This window comes from Homo sapiens, chromosome 17, assembly GCF_000001405.40.
Source record: "Homo sapiens chromosome 17, GRCh38.p14 Primary Assembly".
NCBI classification, from domain to species: Eukaryota; Metazoa; Chordata; class Mammalia; order Primates; family Hominidae; genus Homo; species Homo sapiens.
This window is the reverse complement of record NC_000017.11, coordinates 78,734,970-78,747,979: the sequence shown is the minus strand read 5'-3', so window position 1 is coordinate 78,747,979 and position 13,010 is coordinate 78,734,970. Positions and strand designations below refer to the sequence as shown.

The window sequence follows — 13,010 nt, the reverse complement described above, 5'->3', positions numbered from 1 at the left end:
ACACTCCACAGTGTGAGAGTGGACCCGAGCATAGGGGCTCAAGGGCCAAAAATACTGTGAAATTTATTTTAATCAAAGTGGAACATAGATATAGTTTTAAAGATCCTATACAACACAAAATTTTACGTGCTTATAGCAGCAGTTTTCATAAGAACCCCAAAGTGGAAACAACCAGATGCCATCAGCTCATGAGTGGGTAAAGAAGATGAAGTCTGTCCCTACAAGGGAAGATTCTTTAGTCATAAAAAGGAATGAAGTTCTGACACATGCTGCAACATGGCTGAACATAGAAAACATTGTGCCAGGTGAAAGAAACCAGTCACACAAGGCCATGTATTAGGCAAATCTGTAGAGGCAGAAAGTAGATTAGTGGTTGTCAGGGGTTTGGGGATGCGGGAATGGGGGTGACTCCTATGGGGTATGGGGTTTTCTTTTGGGGATGATGAAAATGTTCTAGAATTAGATAGTGGTGGTGGTTGCATAACTTTGTGAACATGCTAAAATCACTGAATAGTATTCTCTAAAAATGTCCTGCCTCTCCCAGACAGTGCCTCCTCCCCGCAGATGTTGACCTCTAGATCCTTCAAGATTGGGACCGCAGTGCAGTATTTGAGTCTCCCCAGATCTCTTCCTAAATACCAGAGAATGCTGCTGAGAGTGTGCATTTTCTTAAAAGTCACTCCCCTCGTTAGTATACCTGTGCCACTATCTTCCCACCCCTCCCAGGGACTTTTTCTATTCTTACTCTACGAGCCTGGCATACTCTGGGCCTTCAGAGCCTGATCCTTAGCATGCCATGTAGTTTTTTCTTTTTTTTTTTTTTTTTTTTTTTTTGGCGCTGCCATTACCTGTGTCCTCCAATGAACTCTTGTGTTTTGAAGAGGGAGATACTTTGTTTTCTTGACCTTTGTAGGTCTAGCTCTTGGCTAACATAGTGCTTGGCACAGTTCAACAGACATCATTTAGAATGAACACATGGTAAAGAGTCAAATCTTTTTTTAATAAATCAGTGTACACTTTTATTATTATTATTTTTGAGACAGAGTCTGACTCTGTCACGAAGACTGGAGTGCAGTGGGGTGATGACAGCTCACTGCAGCCTTGACCTCCTGAGCCCAGATGGTCATCACCTGCCTCGCCCTCTGAAGTAGCTGAGACTACAGGCACGCACCACCACAGCCAGCTAATTTTTTAGTTTTCTGTAGAGACGGAGTCTGTTTATGTTGTCTAGGCTAGTCTTGAACTCCTGGGCTCAAGTGATCCTCTCACCTCGGCCTTCCAAAGTGCTGAGATTATAGGCACGAGCCATCACACCTGGCCTTTCAAATTATTACTCTGATGAGTAAATCAATATGTGAAGAGCAGCTAGAAAATGGGAGAGTCGGCATTCTAAAAGTGTTAGGCTCTTTCAGATGGAAAGTAAGAGAATCTCAGGTTACCATGTAGTGATACTTTTACCCTAGGAAGACAGAGGAAGTAGGAAACTCGGTCGCCGCACTGTCACTGTGGGTCTTGGAGCTCGGGTCTCCTTGTGGGAAAGTGGCCTTTGTAATAAAATCTTGCAGGTGTTGCGTAATTTCATTAGTCTACATGGTGAGGAATAGAGGAGGTTCAGAGAAGAATATACATGTATTTTGTATACCTCAGAATTTTAGAAAAGAGAATCCTGAATATTTTTTTGGAGGAGTTGAGGAAGAAGTAACTGAGGTTTAAATTTTATCTTTGCAGTGATGCCTGTTCTGACCGTCTTATTTAAAACTTAACAATACCTGACCCCACCCCCTGCCACATACTTCTCTTTTCCCCATAGCACCCATCACTTTCTAGCATGTTACTTATTATTTATTGTGTATATAGTTTTTTGCCTATGTCTGCCTGTATAGTAGAAGCCTATTATCACTATCCCTCAAATTAGCCAGTGTGTGTGGACAAAGGGCAAACCAATGTTGATATTAACAAAGCCCTTTCAGGAAATCAGTACTGGTGAATATACACATAGGAACTGGCACATGCGCTGGGTAGAACATGAATTGCCTCTCCTCTCCCTATATATGTTCAAAAGGTAATGAAATTTTTTTTTCTTTTTTTTGAGACAGAGTCTCGCTCTGTTGGCAGGCTGGAGTGCAGTAGCACAATGTCGGCTCACTGCAACCTCTGCCTCCTGGATTGAAGCAATTCTCTTGCCTCAGCCTCCCGAGTAGCTGGGACTACAAGTGTGTGCCACCATGCCTGGCTAATTTTTGTATTTTCAGTAGAGACGGGGTTTCACCATGTTGGCCAAGATGGTCTAGATCTCTTGACCTTGTGATCCACCCGCCTCGGCCTCCCAAAGCGCCGGGATTACAGGGGTGAGCCACTGCGCCCAGCCAGGTAATGGAATTTTTTGGTGCAATTTCTATGTCAATCTTTTAACAATCTTTTCATGTAGCCAGCAGAGGGCAGCACAGATGGAATTTATGACATTCAGTATTTTTGACTTTATTTTAAAGGGCGTTTAAAACTACTGTAGCAACCACTTCTAGGAGTAGTGTGAAGTTTATTTCAATTTCAGGTTTCTTCTTATTCTTTCTCGCTTGTAAATTGTGCTGTTTCTGCTTTGTCTTTATGGAGGAGGTTATTTCTGTTTACCTTATCATCATGAATATGTCAAATTAATACTTTCCAAAGTCTTTTTGACATGTTTCCAGATGCCTCCGAGGGCTGTGGTGAGGTTGGCGATGGTGGGTCCTGAAGGGGCACTGTTCTTTTGCCTCCAGAAAGTAGCAATTACTTGAACCAGAGTTCTTCGAGGTCTTCCCAATGCTCCCAGGCTCCACGGTGCACAGGAGACTGCAGTCCTGGCTCAAGGGTCCTCTCTGAGCATCTGACCAATGCTCTTGACCCCCTTCTCAGAAAGAAAAATCCCCAAAATGTACATACTCAAAACCACACAGTTTTTCAGTTTTGTGGCAAGTTATGGAACTGGTCATGGATTTTCTTGATAGAAACTAAATAAGATCAGTCTTTGTGATGCATACCTCTCTTATTTTTTTTCTTGCAAGAGTTACTGGTCCTTAGGCAAAAATTGAAGTAAATGCAAATTGTGTACATAAAACAAAGGATATGGTTTAGGTTTTCTTTTTTTTTTTTTTTTTGACATCTAATCGGTTTTGAGTTTTTCTTTTGATAACAAAAGTGCTAAAAAGTCTGTGTCATGAAGGTATGTACTAGCAAATGTGATCAGAAATCCCATAGCTTGCTTTGCTAGGTACAAGGTAAGCCTATGTCAAGGAATGGCAAGTTCTTTGAATTCTTGTTGACACATTACATATATCCTTTGCCATCAACTCTTTTTTCCCCCAAGGTCTAATAGATGCATTTATGTCAATACACAAAAATAGTATACCTCTATGTTTTTTAGGTAACCAAAGTAGAAGGAACCTTTGAAAGAATTGTGCAGTGTGTCCAGGTGTCTGGATTTCTGCCTGCAGAGGCTGGACAAGTCTTTGTTATGCTCCACCCCACCTTGCAGATGTTCTTCGGGACTTTGGAGGACACTTGCGTGATTGTATGCCCTAAGCTGTCTCCCATTTGGCAGCTTGTTAGGAAAGGTCTAAGCTGCAGAGAGAGGATACCAGGAAGCAAAATGATTTACCCCCAAATTCCAGAAAGGCTGCAGGGTACCCAGCACCTCTGAGAATGGAGATAAGGAAACGAGGGTGGTTTGAAAGTGTTCATTGTTGGCAGTTAAGATTTCCAGGTCTCCTCTCCATCTCCTGCAGCAAGGCAGTTTCTCTTGCACTTCTGGTAAACATGAAGGTTTAATTTCTGAAGAAGGCTGTGAAGATACAGAGAGCGAGTGAAAATCTATATTTATTTTAAAAAATACCAACCAAGAAGCAGCACCGAAAAAGCCCGTATATTTAACTGTGAGATTCCCATCCTTTCTTCCTCAGTGTAGCCCCCACAAATACTGGTGGTCAGTTTTACACTCCACACAGCCCAGGTAGGGGATTGGAGAATACTTCTTTGGGTAACTAGTCTAAGCAAAAATAAGCTACCGAGCCCCACATGTGGGGTCTCTACACATTACTGCCTTATCATATTACATTGCCACACATCAATCTATAGGCCATGCCTACCACACGGCTTTTAACCAGGTTATTAGTGTGTCACTCTTAAATGAGAAGAAGTAGACTATGCTTGCTAGAGACTTAAGGAAAATCTTCAGTGTTAGCAAGCAAAAGAGCAAATAGTTTAAGGAAACAGGTCATGGGACATGTAGAAGAAAGCCTTAAAAAGTATATACTTAAGAGTCTCAGATATTAAATGAATGAAACAAGAATAGGCTGCTATCAAAAAGGACTATGGGTTGAGTATTTCTTATCTGAAATGCTTGGAACCAGACAAGTTCTAGATTTCAGTATTTTTTTGGATTTTGGAGTACCTGCATTGTACTTGCCAGAGCATCCCTAACCTGAAAACTGGAAATCCAAAATGCTCCAGTGAGCATTTCCTTTGAGTGTCATGTTGGCACTCACAACGTTTAGGATTTGGGCATGTTTCAGGGATTTGAGATTTGGGATTTGTGTTAGGTAGACAGCTTCAGAGGCCATGACACGGGAGCGAAGCTGGAAAGTAAGACTGCTGGCTGGAGACCAGTGTGGAGTCTGGTGTACTGTGGACGAGAACAGAGAAGGAGGGGCTGGTGAGTGGACGGAGATGATGGGAGAATTCTCTACCATCCCACCGCCCAGAGATAATGATTGTTAATGTGTTTAGTATATATTCTTCCTGGCTTATTTCTTTTTTCATTTTTATAGTCTATGCATTTTTGTTACATGATTTTTTCATTTAACAGTATAACATAGACATCTTTCTGTCTCTACAAAAATAGTTACGCAACATTTTCCAATTACTTTTTTTAAGTGCCAAGGAATACTTTTAAGTAACTCACAGGACAAATGCCCACACTAAATAAATACAACAGAAGCTCTGACACCACCACACCACAGAAGCGTAGACATTAAAATACTACATTATGTCTGTCTAGTTGGCGTGTGTTTTAAATGATAATCCACACTGTGCATTTAGCTGTGGCTAGGCTAGCACTTTATTTTTTATTTTACTTATTTATTTATTTATTGAGATGGAGTCTTGCTCTGTCTCCCAGGCTGGAGTGCAGTGGCACCATCTCAGCTCACTGCAACCTCTGCCTCCCAGGTTCAAGTGATTCTCCTGCCTCAGCCTCCCGAGTAGCTGGGATTACAGGTGCGCCCACCACCACGCCCAGCTAACGTTTGTATTTTTAGTAGAGACAGGGTTTCACCATGTCGGCTAGGCTGGCCTCAAACTCCTGACTTCAAGTGATCCACCCACCTTGTCCTCCCAAAGTGCTGGAATTACAGGCGTGAGCCAGCACACCCGGCCTATTTATTTTTGAGACAGGGTCTCACTCTTGCCTAGGCTGGAGTGCAACAGCACAATCATAGCTCACTGTGGCTTCAACCTTGCAGATTCAAGCGATCTTCCTGTCTCAGCCTCCCAAGTAGCTGGGACCACAGACATGTGCCACCACGCCCAGCTAATTTTTACATTTTTTGTAGAGACAGGGTCCCACCTTCTCTCCCAGGCTAGTCTCAAACTCCTGGGCTCAGTCAGTCCTCTCACCTCAGCCTCCTAAAGGCCTGGGATTATAGGCATGAGCCACTGGCCCAGCAGGGCAGCATGTTAGAAGACAGCTGGTAAATGAAAACAGTTATTTTGGAAATCAGTTTCATAGCAGTGTATAGTGAGCCTTAAAGTAGTTCGTATCTTTTGACCAGCTCTTAAGCCCACTTAGAGAAATTTAGCCTAAGGAACTAGTAGGAGCTGAGGAGGCAAAGGTTACAAGGATGTTGCAGCATTTTACAGGATATAAGGAAAGAAAAAGATTAATGCCCAACAGTAGAAGTGGTTAAGTAAGTTACAACATATACATAATGCAACCATTAAACATACCAGCTCCTTCAATTCCATTCCAACCTTAGGGTTCTTTCTAGCCTTCCCCCTTTTCATGTTTCCAAATTCCTTTTCCTGACAGTGGGAAACCTGGCCCCCAGGATCTGGCTTGAGGGTTGCACCCGACACCTTCCTTTTGCCTCCAGCTCTACTTCCTGTCCGGCTCCATCCTGCTGTCTGCCGGAGGCTGTCCTGGAGGGAGTGTGGTTCCTGGTTGGGTTTGACCAGGAGACGCAAGGGTGAGAGAAGAGTGAAGTCAAGGTGATTCTCTCCTGCTGGTAACTGAGGCTTGCTGAATCCTCTACTGACACTCTTGCCAGAGAGCTCCCATTTGCCACTTTTAGCAGCAGTATGATGCCCTCGCACCCCGTCTTGACTTAGCAGTGATGGGGGCTGCCCCTGTTGCTAGTCTGGGGGGCTTTATTACTCCTTGGTGTCCTCTCTAAACTCTGCCCTCACTTTTATAGGTGGTGCCTATCTTACCTTTCTGCACACTCCCACTCTAGGAATGTTTCTGTCTCTGGGATAATGATTGATATGGGTATTATGCTTTCAAAAAACAAACCTTCCCTAGAATATTATATAAATATTCACGTTTTTTTTTCTACTGTCATTTATTTAATTTTTTTGTAGAAATAGGATCTTGCTTTGTTGCCCAGGTTGGTCTTGAACTCCTGGCTTCAAGCAGTCCTCCCACCTTGGCCTCCCAAAGTGCTGGGATTACAGACATGAACCACAACTCCCAGCCTAGTTTTGAAACATTTTAGACCATTACATGCTTGTGTATTCCCACCTAATCTATTGCTGGAGGGGGTGAGGCTAAAATCTATTTAAGGGATTTATTAATTAAAAATATAAAATGTCTTGAATCAACAACACTTGCATCAAAATGGCCTAATGTGTGCTTTTTAATGTGAATGACGAACGAGTGTTTTCTTCTACTTTGTTGATTTATTGCTTTTCATAGGGCCTGTGCTAGCTCCTGTATGTTTCCGATATCATTTGTTCAGACACTGCTCTGAGGCCCTAGATTATTGTTCTGGTTTTGTAATGTGCCATTATTTTTTTAGTTATTTTAAAGTGTACTTTGAAACTTTTTAAAAGCTTCCATTTAAATAAATACGTAGTAATCTAACACTCTGTTTGGGATTGATGTTATAGATATGCCTCATGAGTTGGGTTATTATATGTTTTAGTTTCCCAGAGACAATCCCAGTTTATGCTGACTGCCTGATGTAATTATTAATAGTACCCATTTGCAATCTCAAAAATATCTCAATATGGATGATAAATTATATGGTCACTTATGAGTGAGTGAAACATACAATTTGGTGATGCAGTGGTTAAATGTCTATTTTAAGGAATTGGAGACATGAGATTCATTATTTCCTTTTTTAACAAACAGTGGTAATTGTTGTACTAGAGATGACAGTGTGGTGTTGAGCCAGGTATGCCTTGCCATGCTTCCAGCTTTAAGGGACGCTGCCTGGCCAGGAGCCTATGAGGTGGCCTGCTGTGCCCAATAGGGATGATGGCTATTAAACGAGCCAGTCAGAGTCCCTCTTTTGAGAATGTGAACTGGAAGTATAACAAGAATGAGGCATTGAATAGTGGGAGCAGAAGCTCAAAGTCAAAAGGTCTGGAGGAGCAGGGGACCTGTGAGGCCATGGGTGGGTGGAAGGAATGATGGGGCCTTTAAGGCAGAGGCTGTGGGGAGTGGAGATGGGGGACCTGGTTGGCAGCATATCAGAAGATAGCAGCTCCAGGCCTGGTGCAATGGCTCACGCCTGTAATCTCAGCACTTTGGGAGGCCAAGGTGGGTGGATCATTTGAGGTTAGGAGTTCGAGACCAGCCTGGCCAACATGGTGAAACCCCGCCTCTACTAAAAATACAAAAATTAGCTCAGCATGGTGGCAGGCACCTGTAATCCCAGCCACTCGGGAGGCTGAGGCAGGAGAATTGCTTGAACCCAGTAGGCAGAGGTTGCAGTGAGCCGAGATCGCGCCACTGCGCTTCAGCCTGGGCAACAGAGCGAGACTCAGTCTCAGAAAAAAAAAAGAAAAGATAGCAGCTCCATTCTTTCACTTGCCAGGCCAGAAAGCTCGGAGTCACCCTTGACTTCTCTCTTTTACACCTCACGTGGACTCCATTGGGACATCCTTGGCTGTACCCTGAAAGTAAATATAGCAAGAATATGGCCACTTTTATCAAGTAAGCCGCCAACCCGTCTCACCTGGATGACTATAGCAGCCCCCCAACTGGTCTCCAGCTCCTGTGCTGGCTGTCTCCAGTCTGTTCTTCCCCACAGCCAGAGTGGTCTTGTTACAAAGGAAGCCACAAAATGCTCTGTTGCTCAGAACCCTGGCAGCAGCTATGCATCTCACCCAGAATGGAAACCAGAGTCCTTAAAATAGCTGCCAAGGCCCCATGCAGTTCGCCTACCACCCTCCTCACCTCTGCGACCATATCTTCCACTCCTCCCTACACTGTTCTTCCTGCTCCAGCCACAGTAGCCTCCTGGCCCTTCTCAGCAGAGGCCTTCCCTGACTGCACTTCCACTTCCCCCACTCCACAGTACTTATTTTCTGACATACTGCATATTTTACTTACTTGTTTCCCCACCTTTCCCATCTCGTTAGAGTGGAGACGCCACGAGGGCAGGCATTTTGTCTCTTTAGTCCTCTGATGTCTCACTAGTGGCTGGCACTTAATGTGCTCAGTGAATGTTGAACGAAACAGATAAGACAAAAGATACAACTATCTTTGTAAAAACTTTTTAAAAACAAGTGACTGGTTATGACAAAATATTTGTAACATTTCATACAAAGGATTTGTAATCTACAAATCATTTAAAAAATGATAAGCAATAGAAAGGTGGGCAAAGGCTTTGAAAAAGCAATTCATGAAAGAGGAAATACCTCAAACTTACGAAAAGATAATCAGCATCATCAGTAATCAGGTCAGTGCAAATGACCAACAACAACGAGAAACCGTTTCCCACTGTCTGACTGGCAGAAGTTAAGTTTGGTCCCATCAGGGACGTGGCAAGCACTTTGGCAGCATCTGTGAAAGCTTTAAGTACTCAGGCCTCATGACCAGCTTTTCTGCCTTTGGGTGTCTATTCCAGAGAAACGCTATACCATTTGACAGTAGGGAGAAAATAGAAGTGACCTGCCCTCTTACAAGTTGGGATCACTGGCTGTGAATCAGACCTGATACCAGAAGATAGAAATGCTGTTTGGGAATCATTAAACATAGGTTTTGAAATGGTGCAGGCTGGGACTTACAACTGTGATTTTGACATACTAAACCAAAAGGTGACACGTTGGGTTTATATTAATTGCCTCTACAAAACAAAGTGTTTTTTTTTTTTAAATATATGCATATGTATTTATTCAACTGTTATTAGGCAAGAAAGAAGAGAATGTGATGAAGTCTTTGCCCTGGAGTCATGTCAGCACCTTCAGAGTCTGACTGGAGACAGCGCCCCGTTGTCTTGCTGTAGATGTGTGTGTTCCCAGCTCCCCAGTGAGACTTGGCCAAAGTCTAGCACTTCCTGCAAAGCTGCTGCAGGTGTTTGCATTTACAATGAAGACTAATAGGAGAGGGGTTTGGGAGTCCAGCAGAGAGCAGGGTGCGGAGGATGGGCTCTGCAGCCAGGTCTCGTGCTTTGGCAAGCCATGCAACGTCTCTGGGTGCTAGCATCCTCATCTGTGATCTGGGGATGGCGAGGACACTCACCCCATGGGATGTTTTCAGGATTAGATGAGTTAGGTCACATCAAGCTAGGCACAGAGTAAGCATGCAATAAATGTTATCTATTACGATGATGAGGTGGGAAGCTATGTCTGGATCCAGCAGTTCTACTTGTGAGAATTTTTTTCTATGGAGATAATTAAAGAGATGTGCCGAAACGTGTGCACACGTGTATTGAGATACGTAGAAGAATTGGAAATCACTTAGAAGTCTTACAATATGGGACTGGTTAAATATTATGTCTAGACTGAGAAGAATAATAAATGTGATAGATGTCCATTTACAGTCATGAAAAAATGTTATAAGTAAAAATAAGTAGCTATAAAACGACATATAAAATATCGTGTGTGTGTGTGTGTGTGTGTGTGTATCTATAGAAGAGAGAGAGAATATATATAATACTTATAACAAAAGTCTGGAAAATGTCTACCAAAATGTCACCAATGGCTATCTCTTGGTGATAGGATTAAGGTGTTTTTTTTCCTTGTTACTATTTTCTAATCTTCAACAATGAATATGTGTCATGAACATGATAGGACTGTGCAGGCAAGAATCTTTGGGTGCAGCATATTAGAAATCATAATGGAGATGAAACTGAACTTAGATTGGGAGTTTGGCCCTTGGATTTTTTTTTTTTTTTTGCCTCTAATATCTGCTTTCTGCTTTTAGCCTGTGACCTCATAACATGCTGTAATGATTACGATCTCTTAGTCATGCTCTTGGGAAATGGGCTATTATCTCATTGTGAGGGGACCAGGGATTTTAATGATTCCATTTTAAGAAAATGTAGTCGGCTTTCCATGGGCTCCCCATCCATGGATTTAACCTATTGTGGATGGAAAATATTTGGAAAATAAAAAAAGGTCACACCTGTACTGAATACATACAGACTTTTTTCTTTTCATTTTCTTTAAACAATATAGCATAACAGCTGTTTACATAGCAGTTACATTGTATTTGGTATTAGAAGTAATCTAGAGATGATTTAAAGTATATGAGTGGATTTGTGTAGCTTATGTGCAAATAATTAAGGACTCAAGCATCCGTGGGTTTTGGTGTCCATCGGAGTTCCTGGCACCAGTCCCCCTTGGATACCAAGGGACAACTGTACTTGAAAGTGAAGAGAAAAACAGCAGTGAGTCCTGGCTATGACTTTGGTTGAGTTTGAGAAAAGACTAGAAGTGTGGCTACTAAACTAGTTTGACTCCAGTGTAAGATTGCTTTCAGGGAAGCAGATGGTTAACACACTCGGAAGGTGCTTGAGCTCGACTTCAGGAACTGGGTGGTGGCACTGACTGGGAGTGCCGCTTCTTTGGAGGCTGGAGGTTGATTGGCCCAGGCGTGCAGCCAGCCATTGCCTGTCTGTTCAGGAAGCAGCTCTGAGCTGCCCTAGTGGCTGGACAGCTTCACAGGTATCCCCGGCCCCTCCCAGTCAGACCCCACAGGAAAACTTGGCTCCCAGTAAGTTACCGCTCTCCTGGAAGCACAGAACGGACTTTTCGTGTCCCGCTGTAAGGAAACAAGATGGTCCTTAAAACCGAAGAGGAGGACGGTGAGTCAAAGCCGCAGCCCCCGGCCGGGACTGATGCGGCTTGGGGTATATGGAGTGGAGTTTTAGGTATCTCTTTTCATTAGTATGTGAAATCCTGTGAGGATAGTTTACTGAGCCTTTTGGGGAGGAGTTAAGGACCAACCTAGACTCTGGTTTTTATCTTACTGTTTTCAGGAGAAAGACTGCATAGTCTCTTAGTGGTTAGGAAGCTGAGGCTCTCTCGGGTGTGTGTGTGTGTATGTGTGTGTGTGTCAGAGAGTGAGAGAGAGGAGAGAGAGAGAAAGAGCGAGAAGAGAGAGAGATATTAAGGTAACTCAGTGTTTTTAAACCAAAGAAGTTCTCCTCCAATCTTTGCTTTCGTTAGAGTTCCGCCTTGGGTGTTTCTTGGTAGATTCCACTTCATACTTGGTGATTGTGTCTACTTCCTGTATCAAAATAACAGTTGGTCAGAACTTCTGGGAATTCCACAAATATCCAGAAAGAATCTGATACTAAAAAGTAAAGACATTAGAGATCGGATTGAAAGAACCAGTGAGATTTGGGATAAATAGTACTTGTTTTGTTAAATAAAATGTGTCTAAGGGAAAAGACGATGTGGTCTTCTCCCTTTGGTTGTTAGGTGAGGACTGTTTGAAGCCTGGGAGGGCAGGGTCTGTAGAACTTCCTTTATCTGCTCCACACCTGTACTGTAAACAGTGGAGCTATGAGTAATGGGATGACAAGCTGTGCCTTCTAAATCCCAAGAGATTCTGCTGAAGAGCTGTGTCTTAAAGCCCTGGGTCAACACAGGAGTTGTGTTTGTGGATGTGTGTGTGTTTTATTGTATTTTATTGTGGCACCTTATCAGATGGTGGTGTTGTAATGCTGCAAGACAAAATAGTAAAATGCGTACTGGGTTGTAGCTGGTAATGTGTGATATTTTTAAGTTTGGAATAAATATCTGGCTATGTTTCAAGTGGATTTTGTGAAAGTTGTAATAAAACTTGGGTGTCCTCTTTAGGCTTTTCCCACTCTGGTTCACTATAAAGCACATTTGAAAGCCCCACCTCTAAGTGCAAATGATCCTGGACAGTGTCCACGGGCGACACTGAAAGCTGCAGCACGCGTGGGGGACGCTGGGAGGGAAGCATGCACAGGTGTCCATAACGATACTTCTGTATCTGAAGAGGGGTCAGTAGTGAGGGGACGTGCCAGGCCAGGGCTGAACTGCCTGCTTGGTGCTTTTCTAACTGAAAGGTGAGTCCACACTAGCCAAGATCTAGTTCCAAAGGGAACACTTTTGAGAGTGGAAGAGGACACTAGTGACTATGCTGGGACAGCAGGAGTGAGCCGGGCCTGGCCATGGTCCCTCACGCTTACTTGCTTCTGGTCCTTCCGGGTGAGCCTAGCTTCAGACCCACCGGAGGTGCTGTGTAATAGTCACTTTTTATCCTGGAGGCTTCAAAAGTCAACATGAACTACCCTAATCAACAGTGGGAGTGATGGGGGTGGGGCATGAGGTTAGGGGCCGGGAGCTTAGAGGTAGAATTACTGAACAGCTTTGCTTTGACCAAGTAACCTTAAAGAACTGGTGCTTCTTCGCTTCCCTTACCCCCTCCCATGGTATTTCCTTGTGTTGTCACCTGGGACTGAAGGCAGTGTTGCCCTTTAAACCACTGCTAAAATAGATGCCCTTAGACATTGCCGTGAGAGACAGAGTGGCATTTAGGTAGGTGTAAAAGG

General features: G+C 43.4%; 1 protein-coding gene across 10 annotated transcripts in view, besides 1 other annotated feature; it reads left to right on the top strand.

Moving 5' to 3' along the window:
* The window catches only part of CYTH1 (cytohesin 1), a 108,226-nt gene that overhangs the window by 34,294 nt on the left and 60,922 nt on the right, over nucleotides 1-13,010 (top strand). Inside the window, exon 2 of one of the 10 annotated variants that reach the window (XM_047437079.1) lies at nucleotides 6,062-6,240. The exons of 8 other annotated variants lie outside the window; for them this stretch is intronic. Coding sequence is in view for 1 of the 2 variants with exons in the window: in NM_001365040.2 (NP_001351969.1) it covers nucleotides 11,261-11,288 (28 nt within the window). In the remaining variant the exon portion in view is untranslated. Of the gene's footprint in view, nucleotides 1-6,061; nucleotides 6,241-11,077; nucleotides 11,289-13,010 lie in introns of those variants that run through there. One more of the 10 variants, NM_001365040.2, reaches the window with a different exon arrangement.
* Nucleotides 8,037-8,326: an enhancer, noted in NCBI's record as "active region_12907". NCBI's record gives its function as "activates an Ori minimal core promoter by ATAC-STARR-seq in GM12878 lymphoblastoid cells {active_cell/tissue: GM12878}" and the evidence as "EXISTENCE:reporter gene assay evidence [ECO:0000049][PMID:35858748]".